Genomic DNA, 22274 nt, shown 5'->3' with positions numbered 1-22274 from the left:
AGTATACCCAGGGATGATTGTATTGTTTGTTGTGTTTTTTCTGGGATGGAGTCTCGCTCTGTTGCCCATGCTGGAGTGCAGTGACACGATTTCAGCTCACTGCAAGCTCTGCCTTCCTGGTTCAAGCGATTCTCCTGCCTCAGGCTCCCAAGTAGCTGGGATTACAGGTGCATGCCACCACGCCCGGCTAATTTTTGTATTTTTTAGTAGAGACGGGATTTCTCCATGTTGGCCAGGCTGATCTCAAACTCCTGACCTCAGGTGATCCACCCGCCTCAGCTTCCCAAAGTGCTAGGATTACAGGCATGAGCCACCGCACCCAGCCCGACTGTATTGTTTTTTTTGATAATCTCAGGTGTCTGTTATTCACTCAGAATCTGCTTATAATTATACTTTTAACATCTTGCATCTGGATTTCTCTATATGTAGAGCGCAGAGTAGGGTGATGTGACTCTAAAGTGGGTCATTTTGGCCTTTTGTTAGATAAAAACATCCACTGAATAAAGAGAAAACCAGAACAGAAAGTTGATGTCTTTCACTGTGAATACCTGGAATTGAAGGTGTCATCATTTTCACTCTTTTTAACTCCATTTCTTTCAGTTCCTATTATCCTTGCCGTAAATAAATGTGACAAAGCTGAGGCTGATCCTGAGAAAGTGAAAAAAGAGCTGCTGGCTTACGATGTGGTATGTGAAGATTATGGAGGTGATGTTCAAGCAGTGCCTGTCTCCGCACTTACGGTAAATGCGGGGACCTCATATAAATATGCCTGGATGGGAATGCTGTACATAATGCACACAGTATATTACATCTAAAGAACATTTTGATGTACATAATTTGTGTTGTTTTTAAAAAGTTTTCTTGGTGCCAGGCAAAGATGGTATTATCTTGGTTTGGCATGTTAGGAGTTAGGCTCAGAGAGGTCAGTCACCAGCTAATCAGTGTGGAGTCAAGTCTAAATGGAATATATTTTTTATTATGAGATACTTAGGATGAGAATAAATGGTGAATAAGGGAAATAGTAGGACAAAGACGTGGTGCCATCACAGCTCAGTGCAGCCTTGACCTCCAAAGCTCAAGTTGTCCTCCCACCTCAGCCTCTTGAGTAGTTGGGGCTACAGGCAGGTGCCACCCCATGCCTAGCTAATTTTTAAATTTTTTTGTAGACATAGGGTCTCACTGTGTTGCTTAGGCTGGTCTTGAACACCTGGCCTCAAGCCATTGTCCCACCTTGGCCTCCCAAAGCACCGAGATTACAAGTGTGAGCCACCATGCCTGACCAAAGACTGTCTTAAGCAGAAATGAAATCCAGTTGTTAACAAAAAAGTGCTTATATTTCATGCCTCTTACAAGTGGAAAACAGGTCTTACAGCATTTAAGAGATTTAAACAAAAAGTTCATGAATACCAAGATTAAATATTAAGGTTGATTTTGTTATTGATTGACTGAATGTTTTTGTGGATTAAATTGCTACATGTTTTAAAATGTTATTTATAATGAATTCCATTTTCTTTAAGATTACCATCTATTCTTTCTTGAATATAAACACCAAGGAAACTCAGTGCTTGCCTCTTATAAGTGTTTTCCAATTCTCTTACCCTATAGAGGTTGCTGCTAAGTGACAATTTCCTTTTTTGTCCGTCCTTATTATATTACAAAGTTTATTTATAATATAGCCTTTTTTTTCTCCTGATCATTCACTGAAGGGATGGTGGGTTACTCTACCACCTTCCTCCAATTAAATCTCACTTCATCTTTACTTTTCCTAAATGTGTTACCTCCAAGATAGTTAGAAATTATGCGTCCATTAATAGTAAAACTGTGCATCTTTTTCTCTGAAATTTATAAAATGCTACCTTACTTTGTTATCTTCTGCACTATCCCTCAATTGTTATTGCACTCTGAAAGCCAAATGTTAGGCTTACTAAAATAAGATTAAAGTATTTGGCCAGGCGCAGTGACTTATGCCTGTAAGCCTAGCACTTTGGGAGGCCGAGGTGGTCAGATCCATTGAGGCAGGAGTTCAAGACCAGCCTGGGCAACATGATGAGACCTTGTCTCTATAAAAACACAAAAATTAGCCTGGCTTGGTGGCATGTGCCTGTCGTCCTAGCTATTGGGGAGGCTAAGACTGGAGGACCACTTGAGCCAGGGAGGCAGAGGTTGCAGCGAGCTGAGATGATGCCACTGCACTCCAGCCTTGATAACAGAGTGAGACCTTGTCTAAAAAAAAAAATTAAAATATTTGAAGAGTTGACCACCTTTTCTGGCCAGATACCATCAGATGAGTAGGTAGATGTAAAGCTGCTTAGGCAGATTTGGAGGCGTGTCAGAGATGATTCCAAGGGAAGGGAGGGGATTGGAAGAGAGTGGCAGGGAGGTAAGATGAGGCCTTCTTTTCCAAGATATATAAAGGATTATTTCATGCAAGGAAACAACTCTAGTTCTGCTTTTTGGGGCAGCATTTTGTAAATTGGAATAAATACTAGGAATAAGTGGGTGGGTAAGCAAAGTATTTAGTCAATTTTTTTGTTTTGTTTTGTTTTGTTTTACAGTTGTCTATTGTTTTATTTTTTGTTTTTTGAAATGAAGTCTTGCTCTGTGTCTCAGGCTGGAGAGCAGTGGCATGATCTTGGCTCACTGCAACCTCTGCCTCTGGGTTCAAGTGATTTTCCTGTCTCAGCCTCCTGAGTAGCTGGGATTACAGGCACGTGCCACCACACCTGACTAATTTTTTGTATTTTTAGTAGAGATGTGGTTTCACCATGTTGGCTGGTCTTGAACTCCTAACCTCAAGTGATCCGCCCGTCTCAGCTTCCCAAAGTGCTGGGATTACAGGCATGAGCCACCGTGCCCGGCCCTTGTCTGTTGTTTTATACTTTGTAACAACTGTGAGCAATCTCTTAGCTGATAAGAGGAGTGGAAAAATACCTTGCCTATCAGTTCCATTTCCATCACCAGTTAATCAGCTGTGTGATCTTGGAGCCCTAGAGAGCACAGTAAACATAGACCATGAAAGGTAAAAGAATCACCCACTCCAGCTTCTTCATTTTATGGTTGAGGTAAGGAGATCCAGGGAAGTGAGGTGATTTTTTTTTTAAAGGCTGCACAGCTGGGTGGTTATAAAGCACAGCTTAGAGCCTAGATCTCTAGTTAGTGCTTTTTCTCCTCATTTATTTAATAAGGGTAAGTCATGCTTGATATGCTTTGTAGGATTCTTGAGTTGATCAAATGAAATAATAGATGTGAAATCTCGTTCAGTTGGATAGAACTTAAACAAAAAAAGAAAGCAAGAGGAAGGAAACACAACTGTAGGGACAGACGGAGGAGAAAGAAAATGAATGAAGCATTGCATGTGTTTATGAAAGGGATAGTAACAAGCCCACCAGTGGTCATCCTTTAAAAAAAATAGCCACTTGTTCCTTGCAAGATCTGTCCATGGCTCAGGTTTTCTTGCTGATCCCTCCCTCCCTTCCATTCTTCCCATTGTCTTTTTTCTTATTTTTGTTTCCCCTCCCTCCCTTTCTTTGTTAAATTGAGTAATCATGCTTTCAATGATTAAAGAGAAAAGTATAATATAACTTGCAAGTATTATGTGACTTTCTGTCCCTGGCATTTACATTTACAGATAATATTTATTAATGTGTATTAACAACGTTTGTTATTGTTAAAGGGCGATAATCTGATGGCTTTGGCAGAAGCAACAGTTGCTCTTGCAGAAATGTTAGAATTGAAAGCAGATCCCAATGGTCCAGTGGAAGGAACAGTAATAGAGTCTTTCACAGACAAAGGAAGAGGGTAGGACTCTTAAAATGCTTGCCTTTTTAATTTGTTCTGTGGTTTTCGTGACTTGATTATATGACAATGTATTATTTTTGTTACATGTTATTGTTAGTTCATGAACAATATTTTCAAAGCATTTGTTTTAAAAAGTATTTTATTGTTTGTACTAATACAAGAACACAAAAATGCAGTTATTATCAGTAGACCATAGCAGCTATCCATGTACATCTACTAGTCATATTTAGGTGACATAAGTAGTTCAATTTGTTTTATTTTTTTTCCCTCACTGACTCGACTGAATTGGTAAAGTCTTATAGATAACATAAATTAGAATGAAATACCAATGGTTGCATTTTAGGGTTTGTGAATTCTTTATACTTTACCCATTAATATAATACGCAGAAAGGTCTTTGAAGTGGTGTGCTTGAATTTTCCTCTGTATCAGCAAGAGAGGTTTTCTCATTGCTTTACACTCTCTAACAACTGAGTAATCCCTTAGCTGATGGAGACTGGGATAGAAAGTGGGTTAAGATTCTGTCAGAACACTTTGCTCCCTGCTTCTTCGCTTAGCATAACCTTATAAGAAATTATTTTTTTTTTAAATTATGGTAAGAAACACCTAACATCCCATTTATTATGTTAACCATATTTAAATATACAGTTCAGTATTGTAGTTTATTCACATTGTTGTGCAACAGACGTGTTGAACTATTTTATCTTGTGAAACTGAAACTCTGTACCTTTTAAAATTACCCTTGTCCCTCTCCTGAGCCCTTGGCAACCACCTTTCTGTTTTCTGCTTTTCCTTTATTTCTTTCTTTCTTTTTGAGACGGACTTTTGCTCTTGTTGCCCAGGCTGGAGTGAAGTGGCCACGATCTCAGCTCACTGCAACCTCCAATCCCTGGGTTCAAGCAATTCTTCCGCCTCAGTCTCCCAAGTAGCTGGGATTTACAGGCACCCACCACCATGCCTGGCTAATTTTTGTATTTTTTTAGAGACAGGATTTTCACCATGTTGACCAGGCCGGTCTCAAACTCCTGACCTCAGGTGATCCAACCGCCTCAGCCTCCCAAAGTGCTGGGATTACAGGCGTGAGCCACTACACCTGGCACTGTTTTGTGTTTCAATTTTGTGCCTACTTTAGATACTTCATATGAGTGGAATCATACAGTATGTGTCCATTTGTAACTGGCTTATTTCATTTTGTATAATGTTCTAGAGTTTCATTCATGTTGTAGCCTGTGAAAAGATTTCCTTTTTTTAAACAATTTAATATTTATTTATTTTTTAATTTTTCTTTTTTTGAGTTGCAGTCTCACTCTGTCACCCAGGCTGGAATGCAGTGGTGTGATCTCGGCTCACTGCAACCTCTGCCTCCCAGGTTCAAGTGATTCTCCTGCCTCAGCCTCCCGAGTAGCTGGGACTGTAGGCGCGTGCCACCACACTCAGCTAATTTTTGTATTTTTAGTATAGATGGGGTTTCACCATGTTGGCCAGGCTGGTCTTGAACTACTGACCTCAGGTGATCTACCTGCCTCGGCCTCCCAAAGTACTGGGATTACAGGTGTGAGCCACTGTGCCTAGCCTATTTTTTTTTTAATTGAGATAGGGTCCTGCTATGTTGCCCTAGCTGGTCTCAAACTCGTGAGCTCAAGCAATCCACCCACCTTGGCCTTCAAAAGTGCTGGGATTACAGCCGTGAGCCACCACACCTGGCCAATTTCCTTCTTTTTAAAGACTGTATAATATTCCTTTGTATGTAAAATCCACATTTTCTTTGGAAGAAATGTCCATTTGTCTTTTGATGGACATTTGAGTTGCTTCTACTTCTTGGCTATCGCAAATAAATTTGTTTAAAATGGTCTTGATAGGCTGACTTTGAACTCCTGGGCTCAGGTGATCCTCTTGCCTTAGCCTGCTGAATAGCTGGGATTGCAGATGTGCCACTGCACCCAGCTTTGAAATGTTTTTATAGTATGAAAAACTGCTTAAGTTAAGAAGTGGTGGAATTAATCTTGTGTATACACATGTTTATATAACTTAAACTTCATAAAGATATCTTTGCTCTACTTAAAGTACATTATGACATTGAAAATATACTTTTATTTTCATTTTAGTCTTGTTACTACAGCTATAATTCAAAGAGGAACTTTAAGAAAAGGCTCTGTTCTGGTTGCTGGAAAATGTTGGGCAAAAGTACGCTTAATGTTTGATGAAAATGGAAAAACAATTGATGAGGCCTATCCCAGCATGCCAGTGGGAATTACAGGCTGGAGAGACCTTCCTTCTGCAGGAGAAGAAATTCTTGAAGTAGAATCTGAGGTGTATCAAGCTTAATTCCTATATATTAGATATAATATAATGATTTTAAATGCCAGTTTACAATGTTATACCAAATATGTGTATTAATGTTAACAAATCTAGATTATAAGGGGCTGTGAGGATGCAAGTTGTGCTATTTTAGCATTAGACTATAGAATTTTGGGGGTGGGGATAAGATTTTTAAATCATTTCAATTATACAAGCTCTCAAATTAAAATTTTACATGTTTCTTGAAACTTATAAAAGTAGTAGTTTCATACATGAGTTAAGCTAATTTCCTAATGCAGGACAACACAAAGGCTTTAATCTAGCAGTTATTGATGTCTATTTCATTAAATAATACGTTTTTCCCCTATAAAGCCAAGGGCACGTGAAGTTGTTGACTGGAGGAAATATGAACAAGAACAGGAGAAAGGTCAGGAGGATCTGAAAATAATAGAAGAAAAGCGAAAGGAACACAAAGAAGCACATCAGAAAGCCCGTGAGAAGTATGGCCATCTACTGTGGAAGAAGAGATCAATTCTACGGTTTTTAGAAAGAAAAGAACAAATACCCTTAAAGCCAAAAGAGAAAAGGGAAAGAGATTCAAATGTACTTTCTGTGATTATTAAAGGTATCTTTTTAAAGATTTTACATTACAGTTCATTCTTTGAATATATGTTTTTTTATTCTCATAGTTTGGGCCTTTACATTTACATGAAAATTATTTCAATATTTTAGGAGAGTTTTTCTTAGTCAACATATTTCTTGCTGATTTTGTTGTAAATGTACGTTTGGCTCATTATATGCTATTAAGTCAAGTAGATATGTGTAATGCTAAGCCTAAATAAAAGTGGATTTAGTGATAAATGACATTCCTATCATGGCTTTAAATAGATTATTGTCATTTTTATGTCTGCTGATGTCTAACTCTTAAAAGCAACAATTATAAACTTTTTCTGTATTTAGGTGATGTTGATGGTTCTGTTGAGGCCATTTTGAACATTATAGATACCTATGATGCTTCACACGAGTGTGAACTAGAATTAGTACATTTTGGAGTGGGTGATGTAAGTGCAAATGATGTTAACCTTGCTGAAACATTTGATGGTAAGGATTCCATTTCTTCTTGTTAATCTGTGTTCCCCAAATAACACTGAACCATCTGCTTCTGTCTTTTGTTGCTTGGCTTGTCACACCTGACATTTACTGCTATCAGCATCACCCTTCCTGCTATAGTCCAGTCCCAGCTAGCAATTGAAACTTAATAGGATGTGCAGTATTGTGGCTATAGCTCCATTTGTTGTGGTTGTACTGCAGTTTTGGGGAACTATTTCAAGACCTGGTCACGTTTATCTTTTTTTTTTAAAAGCACCATTACTGCCCCCTCTCCCTACTCCTCCTGGTTCTTTACTATCCCAAGGTTGATTTCTCATATCTTTCATCAGACTTCTGAATGTTCCTAACACTGTAATCACCCTATTCAGTTCTTTCCTTCATCTTTTACTTTTGGCTGCCTATCTTTGGTAATTGATAACTTTATACATCGTATCTTTTTACAGCAAAAGTTCTTTTTAGCTTTATAAGCCTAGAAGGCAGGGAACTGTCTTTATTAGTTGAATTTATGATACACAAAAAGGGGGACTCATGACTGTTAAATAAAGTCGAACACCTAGTAAAGCAAAAACATTTGTTGAGTGATTAGGAATCATTTAGGAAAGAGATGCTTTGAAACCTGACTTGATTAGAGTTAGATATCACCTCTACTACTGAAAAGGATAGAGGTAACATCTAACTGATTAATTAAAAGTATTTGGTAGGCACTGACTGGCTTAGCACTGTGCTGTAATACAGATAGTGTATTGAAAGATATTGAAATGACTTTTTTTTTTCTTTTTTTTTTTTTTGGAGACAGAGCCTCACTCTTTTGCCCAGGCTGGAGTGCAGTGGCACGGTCTCGGCTCACTGCAACCTCTGCCTCCCAAGGGATTCTCCTGCCACAGCCCCCACCGAGTAGCTGGGATTATAGGCGTGCACCACCATGCCTGGCTAATTTTGTATTTTTAGTAGAGACAGGGTTTCACCATGTTGGCCAGGCTGGTCTTGAACCCCTGACCTAGGTGGTCTACCTGTTTTGGCCTCCCAAAGTGCTGGAATTACAGGCATGAGCCGTTGTGCCTAGCCAATTGAATGACTTCTTTTTCTTGAGACGGAGTTTTGCTTTTGTCAACCAGGCTGGAGTACAATGGCGCAATCTTGGCTCATTGCCACCTCTCCCTCCTGGGTTCAAGCGATTCTCCTGCCCCAGCTTCCCGAGTAGCTGGGATTATAGGCACCCACGACCACACCTGGCTAATTCTTATATTTTTAGCATAGATAAGGTTTCATCATGTTGGCCAGTTTGGTCTCAAACTCCTGACCTCACGTGATCCACCCACCTCGGCCTCCCAAAGTCCTGGGATTACAGGCGTGAGCCACTGCACCCGGCCTGAATGGCTTCTTAATGATAGGACTTTCAAGGTGATTGTGTTTTTCTCCTGATTAAACTGTTTGGGTTAATTTTTTTCATTCATTTTGTTTAAGACAAGAGTGTTTTGCTTTTTTTTCTTTTTGGGTTGGTTTTTTTTTTTTTGAGACAGAGTCTTGCTCTGTCGCCCAGGCTGGAGTGCAGTGGCGTAATCTTGGCTCACCGCACCCACCACCTCCTGGGTTCAAGAGATGTTCCTGCCTTAGTTTCCTGAGTAGCTGGGATTATAGGTGTCTGCCACCATGCCTGGCTAATTTTTGTATTTTTAGTAGAGACAGGGTGTCACCATGTTGGTCAAGCTGGTCTTGAACTCCCAACCTCAGGTGATCCACCCACCTCGGCCTCCCAAAGTGCTGGGATTACAGGCGTGAGCCACCGTGCCCGTCCAGGTTAATTTTTTTCATTCATTTTGTTTAAGACAAGAGTGTTTTGCTTTTTTTTTTCTCCCAAAGTATTTACAGTTAAATATATTATTTGTTTGTTGGTAAAATGGTCAGCTCCATGAAACTTGCTTCTTAAAAATAACTCTTGACCTTTACCAATTAAGTCACTATTTTTCCATCCACCCCTTTAAGTCACTATTTTTGGGCATCTTTTGGCCATCTGAATACCTAAGTGCAAACCACAAAAATTGTAGACAATAAGATTATAATTTAATAATGTAATTGTTATTAAAATGAAGGAATAGTATTTTAGCCCTGGTCATTTTTTGTGTTTTTATTTCTCTGGTATGAAAATCAAATTTTGTTTAGCATACTGCTTTACACGTTATAGGCACTTAATGTTCCTTAAATGAATGGGTTTAAAATTATAAAGAAATTTTCTTTGTTAAACAAGCCACAATACAGTTTATAAAATTCTTTCATCAATTGGAAAACGTACTAGTTTTGGTGAGAAAAAAAGTCATAGACCTTCTAACCTCCTCTAATTGCTATTTTTTTTTGAGATGGAGTTTTGCTCTATTTGCCCAGGCTGGAGTGCAGTGGCGCGATCTCAGCTCACTGCAACCTCCGCCTCCCGGGTTCAAGCGATTCTCCTGTCTCGGCCTCCTGAGTAGCTGGAATTACAGGTGCCACCACCACGCCCGGCTAATTTTGTATTTTTAGTAGAGACAGGGTTTCACCATGTTGGCCAGGCTGGTCTTGAACTCCTGACCTCAGGCGATCCACCTGCCTCAGCTTCCCAAAGTGATGGGATTACAGGCGTGAGCCACTGCACCTGGCCTCTTATTTGCTATTTTAATTTAGAAAATAAAACAATTTAGATTCAAGTTTCTGCTTGAAAGACAAATAAATGATTATAATGTAATCGTTGTGCTACTTCATTGATCATATTTCTGTTTGCTAGGTGTTATATATGGCTTTAATGTGAATGCAGGCAATGTTATCCAACAGTCAGCTGCAAAAAAAGGAGTAAAAATTAAACTTCACAAAATAATTTACCGTCTTGTTGAAGATTTGCAAGAGGAACTGAGCAGCAGATTACCCTGTGCTGTGGAAGAGCACCCAGTAGGTGAGTGATCACTGAATGTTACTTTTAAAAATTAGTATATTAGGTGCTATAAATAGCACTTCAAAGCAAAGCTTAGAGGAAACGTTTTCAATGTTGAAAGATATATCCTGTGTTCTAGAAAAAAATGACTACCATGAGAATCCATTGTAACTTCTTATGTAAACACCTGCCCTGTGTAACACATTGTGCCTGTGCCTTGATGATACAAAAGCAAATAAGGAATTAGGAACTTGCCCTCCAGTTTAAATATGAACAAATAATTATAATACAAATTACACTACTATTGAACGCATAAAGATTATTAACAGTGTCATGGAAAGAGCTGTTGACTTTGTTGTGGGGCTGGCAGAGAAGTCTACCATAAGAAGAAAATTTACATTTAAATATTAAATATTTAAAAATATTGTTTCTAGCATATATCATAGCCAGAGTAAAGACTGAGTATATTTAAAATTGATTAAATCACCTCATCTGTTTTTTTTCCTCCCCACGTAGATTTTGTGTTTTTTTATTAACTTTTAATTTTGATAATAGTTTTAAATTTCCAGAAAAATTGCAAGAGAAAAACCAGGAACTCCTATATATCTTTTACCTAATTCACCAGTTGTTTACATTTTGTCCTATTTGCCTCATTTTTGTCCTGCTCCATGCACACGTGATGTTTTTTCCCTGGACCATTTGAAAATGTTTGAGATATAGTGCCCATTTGCCTCTAAATATGTACATCTGCTAAGCAAAAGGATACTATCTTATAAAACTACAGAACTAATCAAACTCAGGAAATTTAACACTTATTTGTACAATGCTCTTATCTAATACACAGTCCATATTCACATTTTGTCCGTTGTCCCAACAGTATACTTTTTTTCCCCAGTCCAGGATCATGGATTATAATATATCCATGTTGTCATATCTCTCTAGCTCCATTTAATCTGGAACAGTTCTTCAATTTTTGTTTTTGACCTTGACATTTTTGAAGCATATTGGACAGCTATTTTGTAGAATGTACCTTGATTTGGATTTGTCCAGTGTTTCCCCATGATGAGATTTGATTTTGCATTTTTGGTCTACATAACAGATTTATTATTTTAGGTTTTTCTGACCTGCTCAACATGATCGTACAGAGATTTTTATGTTCTTGTGCTAAGAGCAATGTGGAAAACTGAGTCATGAGGGTTTCTAGGATTAAGCAAAGACACCAGTCAGATAACACTAACAAATAACAGTAGTAAAATAGCACCCTAGAAAATTGGTTCATTATAGTGCCTGTTACTTCATTATTGGAATTTGTATTTTTAGTCAGTGAAAAAAAACAGACTCGGCCGGGCATGGTGGCTCATGCCTGTAATCCCAGCACTTTGGGAGGTCGAGGCGGGCGGATCACCTGAGGATGGGAGTTCAAGACCAGTCTGACCAACATGGTGAAACCCCGTCTTTACTAAAAATACAAAATTAGCCAGGCGTGGTGGCGCATTCCTGTAATCCCAGCTACTTGGGAGGCTGAGGCAGGAGAATCGCTTGAACCCAGGAGGCGGAGTTTGCTGGTGAGCCAAGATCGCGCCATTGCACTCCAGCCTGGGCAACAAGAGCGAAACTCCATCTCAAAAAAAAAAAAAAAAAACCAGGCTCAGAATTAGTAGAATTAGTACTTCTAAGTAGATATAAATTACCTGTGGCAAAATGAAAAATAATGAGGTCAGGTGCAGTGGCTCAAGCGTGTCATCCGAGGACTTTGGGAGGCTGAGGTAGGAGCATCGCTTGAGGCCACGAATTCAAGACCAGCCTCCACAACAAGAAAGATAAAAATAAAAAAATTAGTGGGCATGGTGGCACGCACCTGTAGTCTTAGCTATCTAGAAGAACTGCTTGAGCCCAGGAGCTTGAGGGTACAGTGAGCTATGATCATGCCACTGCACTCCAGCCTGGGTGACCCATCTATAAAAATTTTTTTTAAAAAATAACAGAGAAATAAAGTAATGATAGATGATCTACTCTAGAAAATATATTGAAGGAAAGCTTAAAACAAGGTTTTCATGGAGCAGACAAGAATAGGCAAAGATGGCTGGGTGCAGTGGCTCACGCCTGTAATTTCAGCACTTTGAGAGTCTGAGGTGGGTGGATCACTTGAGGTCAGGAGTTTGAGACCAGCCTGGCCAACATGGTGAAACCCCGTCTCTACTAACAATATAAAAATCAGCTGGATGTGGTTGTGGGCGCCTGTAATCCCAGCTACTCGGGAGGCTGAGGCATGAGAATCGCTTAAACCCCGGAGGTGGAGGTTGCAGTGAGCCAAGATCACACCACTGCACTCCAGCCTGGATGACAGAGTGAGACTCTGTCTCAAAAAAAAAAAAAAAAAAAGAAAAAAAGAAAAGGAAAAGAATAGCCAAAGATTTTCATTCATTTTTATTCTTAATATTGGTCAGGAAAATAAAATTGGAGTTAAAGAAACCCAGACTTTTTTCTAGGCATGAATTTGGATTTTTGTCATACCTTTAATTCTTATACCACAGAATGTCAGAAATTACGTATTTATCAGAATCTTTAGTTTTCTGCACATTAATGTTCTCTTCTTCCTAAAGGTGAGGCATCTATACTAGCTACCTTCTCTGTAACAGAAGGGAAGAAAAAAGTTCCTGTGGCTGGCTGCAGAGTCCAAAAGGGACAGTTAGAAAAACAAAAAAAATTTAAACTAACCCGTAATGGACATGTAATTTGGAAGGGTAAGCAACATCAAAATCTCCTATAATAGCATATCCAGTCACCAAGACCTGTTGACTATATAACCATCTGAAATCTGTTCATCTTTCATGCCCATAATCTCAGCTCAGGCCATTTCTTATTGCTATTGAAACCCCTAAATTGTCTGTAGTTGATGGGTTCCCTTTGCCTGAGATGTATGTTGGTTTTACCCATTCAAGTCCTGAGTACCATCCTGTCCTCAGCAAAAAGTTTATGTCTACCTTTGAAATAGGAGATTTAGGTTATTTTGTTACAAATCAAGTCTTATTCACAGCAAACTTCATTTTTGAGGGGGTTCCCCTGGTATTTAGTCCCATCATTTAACTTGACAAGACCATAAAATTTTTAAGAATTTCAGTGTAATTTCCTGGTTAACACCACATAATGTAGTATTTAGTAGGTACTTATCATTTATTGAATATACTAACCTTAAATTATCTTTTTTAAGGCTCATTAACCTCATTGAAACACCATAAAGATGACATTTCAATTGTCAAAACGGGAATGGATTGTGGTCTCAGTTTAGATGAAGACAATATGGAATTTCAAGTGGGAGACAGAATTGTTTGTTATGAAGAAAAGCAAATTCAAGCCAAGACTTCTTGGGATCCAGGATTTTAAAATTACATTAAAAATGTAAATAACTCAACGTGTTGTTTGTTTGAAGGTAGAAATGCACTACTACTGGCCAAAAAGTATCTAAGTTGTTTTACCATGTGTTCATATGCATTTGCACAAACTGTCAAAGTGCTCAGAAATAGGAAACCTTATTTAAGGATGCCTCCAACTAGAAATCCTTGAATGGAAAGACTGGCAATATGGTAAAAGTGAATTGTTATTTATACATCACCGATTTCTTTCAAGTGTATGCTTTAGTTAAGAGGCTTATCAAGTGAACCAGCTTTCCCTGAATTGAGCTCCGAAGGAAGATAGGCTACCCCAGTCCTGCTTGAAACTAAACTGTCTTTTACTGTTAACAGTACAAATAAGTAATCATTCCTTTATAGGGATCCATCCTGAACAAACATTAAATTCCCAAGCGTTGTACAACAGACAGCAAGCATTCCACTGAAACACCCAGAGACTGAGGATGCATTTTGTTTTTTTTGGAAGCAGGGTTTTGTCCAGGCTGAAATGCAATGCATAATTAATTACAACTCCTGGGCTCAAGGGATCCTTTTGTCTCAGACTTCCCAGTAGGCAGGACCATAGGAGTCAGCCTACTTTTTTTTTTTTTTTTTTTTTTTTTACAGAGATGGGGGTCTTGCTATGGTGCCCAGGCTGCTCTTGAACTCCTGGACACTCAAGTGATCCTCCCAAAGCATAGGGATTACAGGCACCCCACAACAAAGAATTACCTGGCCCCAAATGTCTGTTGTGTTGAGGTCAAGAAATGGACAGAAACACAAACTGGCTTATATTTAGACAACTTACATTAAATATAACTTCTGCCAAAGTATAGGTAGTCTAAGAATTGAAAATATCAAGACCTTTACAAGTGGTTGGCACCTGGCAGGTATACAGAACCACTGGGTCACATAATCCCCAGAGGCAACATTCACACAGCGATAGCAGTAGCACTACTAAAAGGAAATGGTGTGACCATCAATTTGGTGCTTAAAAACCATTCTTTTTACTGCAATAAAACCCAACAATAAATGTTAGTTCATGTCTTTTATTAACTCATACAGTTACTTGTCTTCTGGTTTGTTGAAACAGTAAGTCAGACAACATTTGCCACAATAATGTCTGTCAAAGTGACTTGCCATAAACACCCCAGCACCACATTCATCAGAAGGGCACTCTCGACGAAGGCGACTAATTTTGCCATTCTCATCCACCTGAAAAGCACAAACCTGCTGTTAAGATAATTTTACAACACATTCTGAAGTCTAATTTAAGTGACTCAAAATATTTAAGCTTTTAACTGTGTAATACTGGTGGTTTTGGTGCTTACAAACCAAAGCACCCTAAATTCTCACCAGTTATCATTGCTACAATGAAAACATTCAGAAGTCTTGGGACTTTTGAACACTAAAGGCCAGCTTTGCAAGTGGTAGACAAAGGTAAAGACCTGAACCCAAACCCGACTTTAAACTCAGAACCCTATTACATAACTGATTTCAAATACCAAACAGGAAAAACCCCAGAAAGTCTGAATTTCTCATTTCCAGAATACCTCATTTAAACCAAAGTGGGATAATATTGGGTGTTTAAGTCCAAGAAAATATTGACAAGTACTATAAAGATTAAGTTTTCCAAATAAGCCAAGACTTTGCTGACATTCTGCCCTTTAACTGGCTCACCTTATAATATTTCAGGACAGCCAGCTTAACCTTCTTTCTCTTGTGCTTATTCTTCTTGGGAGTGGTGTAAGACTTCTTCTTCCTTTTCTTAGCACCACCACGAAGTCTCAACACAAGATGAAGAGTAGACTCCTGTTAATGGAAGAATGAAGCAAGCTTTCATGATTCCACTAAGAATGGGCACACCCAACATTATGCATTTTCTAATTAAAAGCAGTAGCAGCACACAATAACATTTGAGGGAATCTTGCAGCCCCCAAACCCAATAAAGTATCAGATTCTTAACTGACAGTTTATAGGGACATTAAAGAATGCATTACATTACACCATGGGATACAACTTGCAAAATTCATAATGGGAGAACTATAGCAGTGCTTCTCAAGTATCAGTATAGGAGTTACCTAAAAATCTACTGCTATTCGAATGCCATTTTCCCTTTTTGTGTGTCAAAATGTCCAGAATACACCACATGGAGTGGCTCACGTCTGTAATCCCAGCGCTGGGAGGCCACGGTGGGAAGATCACTTATGCCCAGGAGTTTGAGACCAGCCTGGGCATGGTGGCGGGTGCCTATAGTTCCAACTACAGGAGGCTGAGGTGGGAGGACCACCTGAGTCTGAGAGGTGGAGGTTGCAGTGACTGCGCCACTCACTCCACCCTAGGTGACAGAGTCAGAGCCTGTCTCAAAAAAAGTAAAATAAAAAATTTCCAAAATAACATTTTTTTTTTAAAAGAGGCTGCTCTTCCCCTAGACAGACCTTTTGAATATTGTAGTCAGACAAAGTACGTCCATCTTCCAGCTGCTTGCCAGCAAAGATCAGTCTCTGCTGATCAGGAGGAATTCCTAATGACAAAAAACAAAAATTAAGTCACAGCACACCAAGCCTGTGATGTGCTCCAGACTTATAAGGTAACACCCCTTAATCAAATACATGATACTAAAGGCTGACAATAAGCCCTTACTAGAGGTTAGGCATGGTTCTAAATCTTTACATGTCACATTTTACCGCATTTAATATTAGGGACAATACTTGGTTGTCTGCAGTGGCTGACACCTGTAATACCAATACTTTGGGAGGTCGAGGTGGGCAGATCACTTGATGTGAAAAGTTCAAAACCAGCCTGGCCAACAAGGTAAAACCCAGTCTCTACTAAAAATACAATAAATTAGCCAGGCATGGTGGTGCACGCCTGTAATCCCCACTAATAGGGAGGCTGAAGCACAAAAATCACTTGAACCCGGGAGGCGGAGGCTGCAGTAAGCCGGGACAAGCGAATGCACTCCAGCCTGGGCGACAGAGGAGACTCCATCTCACACAAAATAAATAAATAAGTGTCCAAATTCACGCAAGTGAAATACACCTCAAGGATTCCAATCTAGGTACTGTGCTCCCCGATCACCAATGTCTATTGTGTTATTCCACAAGTATTTCGCTTTGTCAATCTGACCCCTTCCCCCATCACCAAGAGCAGGTATGTCTAGCACCTACAGGTAGGCCGAAGTCTCCGCAGGTTAAGTTTTCTTAACTACAAAATACTACTTGCCTTCCTTATCCTGGATCTTGGCCTTTACATTTTCTATCGTATCCGAGGGTTCAACCTATGAGTGTTAAAGTGAAAGCATGTTGGTTACACATTAAGGAACTACAGCAGAACTCATTTAGTTTGACAATTACCACTGAACCGAACCAGCGACAGGGCTGAGACCTACTCGAGAGACCTATTACCCACCCAGTGGGCAACCTCCCAAGTCGGCTACCGGAAAGCACCTTCATCTCCCCAGCCCAGAGCGGGCGGCGGCCGCAGGGCCACACGTGCTCGCACCCGGCGGGCAGAGCGTCTCCTTCCCCACCGCAGCTCCTCCGTTTTAACTAACTAGCTGGAACCCCTCGAGAGGAGACAGGTCCAGCCTTTGGCCACCGAAAATCACCTCTAGGTCGTTGCTCAGCAAAAGGTACTCATTTCAAAGCTTAAGTTTTAGAACCCAAATTCGGAATCATGGTCTAAGACATGGAAAGCAGCGCCGGTCCTAAAATCCACCTCAGGACCTTATTCGGACCTTGGCTTCCTCATGACCACCCGGCCCGTACCTCGAGGGTGATGGTCTTCCCCGTAAGGGTTTTCACGAAAATCTGCATTTTGGTGGCGGCTCCACCTGAGGTTGAGGAAAAGGAAGAGACAGGTTAGGTCAGGGATCACAAGAGAAGGCACCATAGGGTGCTAACCCGAGAGCAGCCGAAGTGCAGACACCCACCGCAGATGGCGGATCGAAAAGGAAGAACGCCGCGCAGGCCCACGGGGTTTCCCGGAGCTCCCGCCGAAGGACCCACCCCTTAGGCGACCACACCAAATGCCTGACTGCCGTCCCAGCGACAATCCAACCCGGTGCCAGACTAGGACGTGAACTTCGTTTCTCCTCTCCCTAGCCTGGGCTTATTTCTCACTTTAGCCTTCGGAATGCTTTCGAAACTGTAGGTTTAAGCAACGTAAAAGATGTTTTAAAAAGGCTTTTCCCGTACAATCAACGTGGCTAAGAGAATTTTTAAAAGGAGGTCGAGGGGGGCCTCTTGGGGAAGAGGTAGGAAATGGAAGTGCATTCTGGGAACTGTAGTTCTCCACTGCTTTCTTCTACCTTGGACTACTTGTCCCAAGATGCAGTTCCACCTCCCAGATTCCCTAGTTACTATCTCTAAGCACTGAAGTCGGTGTTTGGAGAAAAGGACTCAGGTGAGGACTGGAGGTAGGATGAAGCGGAATAATGGTTTCCGGAGCGTGGGAACGGGCCGGAAGTGACTAGAGCAAATGTTAAGCGGGGGGCAAAGGGTGCGGGGCACGAAAGGTGTCCTTCACTCACTTCCAGAAGCGGTGATGGGCAGAGAATCAGCAATCTACCAGACGCTCCTTGGGCCTTCAAGGGAAGGGAATTTGCGTGGCCTGCTCCAGGCAAACTGAAAAATAGGTGAAATCTGCGGAAGCGGGGGTTCAGCCCTTTCTCTCCTGTAGCGCCTCCCTGCTTTCAACCGCCGAGTCTCTCCCAGCCTAGGGAAGAGTCTGGGTCTTGTGTGTCACTCCTTAGTGTGACACGCTTTAATATGTTGAAAAATCTCAGGAGTTTTCAAATTTTAAAGTGAAGCCGTACGGAAAAGAAACCTGCAGAATGGTTATTTAGTTGTAGAATTTCCAAATTTGGGCATTGGGAGTCTTGGATCTGAGAGGAAGTTTTTGGAGTATGTATGGGGTGCTTCTTCCGGCAAGGAGGCCAATTAGAAGCAAGTTCTCCCTGTCCTTTCTCCACTCCACAAACCAGAGTCCTTTCTAATGTCTTCTGTATTTATTTCTTCATCCTCTGCCCTCTGCGACCCCATCCCCAAATTCAGACCTTAATTTTCTCTTGTAGGGGTTCCGAATCTAACTCCTTATCTCTCTCCAGTCTTTCCTCCTTTCTAACCCACCTTCACTATTGCCTCCAAAATATTCATTCTGAAAGGTAAATGTGTGTTATTATTTTATACCTCACCTTCAGGATACAATTCAAATTTCTTAGAATGACATTCAGCCTCTGCCTTCCTTACAACCTAATCTGCTAAACCCATTACTCTACATTTTAGTAAATGAAGCTAATTTAATTTCCTGACCTATGCCCTCCCGTGTTTTGGCATTTCTGAAGAATCCAGTCGTTTATTCTTCCTGGAACTTTTTTTTTTTTTTTTCGTGAGACGGAATTTCGCTCTGTTGCCCAGGCTGGAGTGCAGTGGCGCGGTCTCGGCTCACTGTAAACTCCGCCTCCCAGGTTCAAGCAATTCTTCTGCCTCAGCCTCCCGAGTAGCTGGGATTACAGGCGCCCACCACCACACCCGGCTAATTTTTGTATTTTTAGTAGAGATGGGGTTTCACCATGTTGGCCAGGCTGTTCTCTAGCTCCTGACCTCAAATGATCCATCCTCCTTGGCCTCCCAAAGTGGTGAGATTACAGGCGTGAGCCACCACGCCCTGCCTCCTGGAACATTTTTCATCCCCTAGTCCGCCAACTAGTCTCTACAACAAAATTTCCTAGAGTTGCTTGTACATATTGTCTCTAATCTTTCCCTTCCGTTGTCTGAACCCACTCCTGTCAGGCTTTTGTCCCCACCATTCTGATCGGATAGCTCTTGTAATGGTCACTAATGACCTCCATGTTGCTAAATTCAATGGTCATTTCATCTTATTTGATCTGTCAGCAGTATTTGACACAGTTGCTCATTCCATCTCTCTTTGAAAACCTTTCAAAGACTTCACCTCTCAGTTTTTCTGCCACCCTGGAGGCTCTTTTCCAGGCTCATTTGCTGCTTCCTCTTGATCTGCAAGACCTCTAACCATGGAGTATCCCCAAGGCCCAGTCCTTGGACCTCTGCTTTGTCTGCATTTTCTTGGTTATCTCATTTTTGTTTAATAACTTTTAAAGTATCATCATATGCAAATGACTCATAAACTTATCTGTCAGACCAGATATGTCACAGATATGTCACAACTTCATCTTCACATATCCAGCTATCTACTCAACATCTCTAATGGACAGGCCCCAAACACTTAATCTCATGAAATTGCTCTTCCCATGTTTATATATGGCAATTCCCATTTCTCCAGTCACTAAGGCCAAAAACTTTATGATTATCCTTGACTGTTCTTTTATATCCCACATCTTATCTACCTTGGCAGATCTTGGCTTTATTTTCAAAATATATGCAGAACACTTCCTACCACCTCCATTGTTAGCACCCTGATTCAAGCCACCATCATCTTTTGCCTTGATTATTGCAGTAGCTTCGTAACAGCACTTCCAGCTTTGACCCTTGCGTCCTATAATCTGTTTTCCACAGAGCAACAAGAACAATTCTTTTTTTTCTTTTTTTTGAGATGGAGTTTCGCTGTTGTTGCCCAGGCTGGAGTGCAATGGCACAATCTTGGCTCACCGCAAACTCTGCTTCCCGGGTTAGGTGATTCTCCTGCCTCAGCCTCTCCAGTAGCTGGGATTACAGGCATGCGCCACCACGCCCAGCTAATTTTGTATTTTTAGCAGAGACAGGGTTTTTCCATGTTGGTCAGGCTGGTCTGGAACTCCCGACGTCAGGTGATCTGCCCGCCTTGGCCTCCCAGAGTGCTGGGATTACAGGCATGAGCCACCATGCCTGGCCAAGAACAATTCTTTAAAATGTTAAGTCAGCTCTCCCACTCTTCTGCACACAGGCCTCTAAAGGCTTCGAATCTCACTCAGAGGAAAGCCTAAATTCTTACAAGTGAGGCTGTTGCTCCAGTGCTGGAACAAGTAGAGGCCACAGTCCAGTGTTGCTCCTCTTGCCAAGTCTGCCCAGAGAAAGGGACCTCTTTTTCTAAACCGCACAAAGGTACCCCCTAGGCTGATAGTAGTTCTGCCCTCAAGACCCTACATGCTACATAATCTGGCAGTTACCTCTCTGATCTCATCTCTTCTCTCCCTTTCTCATTCTCTTCTAGCCCCACGGGCCCTCTAGCTGTTCCTCAAATGTGTTGTCCCACCCTGAGGCCTTTGGACTGGCTACTCTCTTTGCCTCAACCACTCATCTCCCAGGAATCTACATGACCTGCTATTTTCAGATTTCTGAAATGTCACCTTATCAGTAAGCTCTTTTGTCTTTCCTGACTTACTGCCCTTATAGAAAATGGTATCCTCCCACCTTCCTTACTCTCTATCCCCCATACCTTGTTTTATTTTTCTTCATACAACTTAACCCCTATCTGTCATACTATATTTCTATATATATATAATTTTTTTCTTTCTTTTTTTTTTTTTTTTTTTGAGACAGAATCTCCCTCTGTCGCCCAGGCTGGATTGCAGTGGTATGATCTTAGCCCACTGCAACCTCCACCTCTCTGGTCCAAATGATTCTCATACCTCAGCCACCTAAGTAGCTGGGATTATAGGTGTGAGCCCCTGCGCCCAGCTAATTTTTATATTCTTTAATAGAGACTGGGTTTTGCCATGTTGGCCAGACTGATCTCAAACTCCTAACCTCAAGTGATCCACCTGCCTCGGCTTTCCAAAGTGCTGGGATTACAGGCATGAGCCGCTGTGCCTGGACTATTTTTTTTCTTGTGTGTTGTCTGTTTCTACATGAATGTAACCTTTGTGAGATTAGGGACTTTGTTTTGTTCAATACTGTGTCTCCATTGTCTAGAATAATGGCAGACAAACAATAGGTGTCCCCCAAATATTGAATAAATAAATGTAGCACAACTTAAGCATTGCCCTAGATTTTGTTTTACTAGATGTTTTCCCTAATGTTTCCTTGCCCCCTTCCGTAGGCTGATGAGATGCCCCTCTGGCCTTCTGTAGCCTATTGTGCTTACCTCTGTCACACTGCCTTTTCTGCTTTGTAGCAGTGGCTCATTTACTAGACCTGGAACACTTGACTGGGAACCCTTGTGACTTGTCAACACATCCCTAAATGTCTAATATGAATGAATGAATGAATGAATGGTAATCTTGGTTGGTTTATGTAACTCAATGGCATTTTGTAGATGTTAAGGAACAATCCCTTTAGCTGTGTTCTGGTTTGAGAGCACCACAAGTCCAATGTCTTATGAATAGACTAGATTATTGTTCAGTGATTATTGATTATTCAGCAAACATATGTTTGAGTACTGCTCTGCTAGAAACTGCATTATGCACTTGAATGCATATGGTAGAGGAGGGATGATGGGGAAAGAGAACATTTTGTTTCCTGATCTTGTCACGCTTACAGCCTAACAGATGAGACAGAATATAAACAGGAAGTCTCTAAGGCAGTGTGGTGGAAGGATAATACCATGATGGAGGAAGTGCACAGTATTATGGGAGAACATAGCAGTGGCATCTGACCAATTTTAAGGGAATCCAGGACAGCTTTCCTGAAGCTGAAGAAAGAGTAAAAGCCAGGTGAATCAAAGTGATAGTATGTATGTGTTTTGGGGGTTGGGGGTAATATAGGAGGATGGTCTGCAGGGAGGGGGAGAGAATTATGTAAGATCCTAAGGTAAGAGAGGAAGTTCATGGGTGTGGGAATGGGGATATGGGGCAAAGGACAGGGACATGAAGAGAGTAAATTTG

At 40.9% G+C, this 22274-nt stretch overlaps 3 protein-coding genes across 42 annotated transcripts in view, besides 2 other annotated features; 2 read left to right on the top strand and 1 right to left on the bottom strand.

Annotated features, from left to right (window-relative positions):
- MTIF2 (mitochondrial translational initiation factor 2) overlaps nt 1-13540 on the top strand; it is a 32654-nt gene extending 19114 nt beyond the window's left edge. For 16 of the 22 annotated variants that reach the window (XM_047444424.1, XM_047444427.1, XM_047444423.1 and 13 more), the window contains 8 exons: nt 601-740; nt 3674-3798; nt 5902-6106; nt 6467-6719; nt 7055-7195; nt 9960-10124; nt 12707-12847; nt 13315-13540. In XM_047444424.1, the coding sequence (XP_047300380.1) occupies nt 601-740; nt 3674-3798; nt 5902-6106; nt 6467-6719; nt 7055-7195; nt 9960-10124; nt 12707-12847; nt 13315-13487 (1343 nt within the window). In that variant the 3' untranslated portion in view covers nt 13488-13540. The remainder of the gene's footprint in view (nt 1-600; nt 741-3673; nt 3799-5901; nt 6107-6466; nt 6720-7054; nt 7196-9959; nt 10125-12706; nt 12848-13314) is intronic. The other 6 variants (NM_001321001.1, NM_001321002.1, NM_001321005.1 and 3 more) reach the window with 1 other exon arrangement.
- On the bottom strand, nt 14282-18232 carry RPS27A (ribosomal protein S27a). 3 transcript variants are annotated; one of them, NM_001135592.2, is made up of 6 exons: nt 18027-18232; nt 17263-17327; nt 16718-16772; nt 15931-16016; nt 15173-15304; nt 14282-14707 (listed from the first exon to the last, which is right to left on the bottom strand). In NM_001135592.2, the coding sequence occupies exons 2-6, from the start codon at nt 17308-17310 to the stop codon at nt 14558-14560; spliced, it is 471 nt and encodes a 156-aa protein (NP_001129064.1). In that variant the 5' UTR covers nt 17311-17327; nt 18027-18232; the 3' UTR covers nt 14282-14557. The 3 variants fall into 3 exon arrangements, with proteins under 3 accessions (NP_001129064.1, NP_002945.1, NP_001170884.1); NM_002954.6 differs by lacking the exon at nt 18027-18232 and adding an exon at nt 17427-17447; NM_001177413.1 differs by lacking the exon at nt 18027-18232 and having other exon boundaries at nt 17263-17457.
- Nucleotides 17168-17347: an enhancer, noted in NCBI's record as "active region_15778". NCBI's record gives its function as "activates an Ori minimal core promoter by ATAC-STARR-seq in GM12878 lymphoblastoid cells {active_cell/tissue: GM12878}" and the evidence as "EXISTENCE:reporter gene assay evidence [ECO:0000049][PMID:35858748]".
- Nucleotides 17368-17797: an enhancer, noted in NCBI's record as "active region_15777". NCBI's record gives its function as "activates an Ori minimal core promoter by ATAC-STARR-seq in GM12878 lymphoblastoid cells {active_cell/tissue: GM12878}" and the evidence as "EXISTENCE:reporter gene assay evidence [ECO:0000049][PMID:35858748]".
- CLHC1 (clathrin heavy chain linker domain containing 1) overlaps nt 17572-22274 on the top strand; it is a 60017-nt gene continuing 55314 nt past the window's right edge. For 7 of the 17 annotated variants that reach the window (NR_148542.2, NR_148539.2, NR_148538.2 and 4 more), the window contains exon 1: nt 17842-17899. The gene's annotated coding sequence lies outside the window, so the exon portion shown is untranslated. Of the gene's footprint in view, nt 17644-17841; nt 17913-20662; nt 20806-21930; nt 22104-22274 lie in introns of those variants that run through there. The other 10 variants (NR_148541.2, NM_001353785.2, NM_001353779.2 and 7 more) reach the window with 5 other exon arrangements.

This window comes from Homo sapiens, chromosome 2 (assembly GCF_000001405.40).
Source record: "Homo sapiens chromosome 2, GRCh38.p14 Primary Assembly".
NCBI classification, from domain to species: Eukaryota; Metazoa; Chordata; class Mammalia; order Primates; family Hominidae; genus Homo; species Homo sapiens.
The sequence above is the reverse complement of the archived record's forward strand: the minus strand, read 5'-3'. Positions and strand labels throughout refer to the sequence as shown.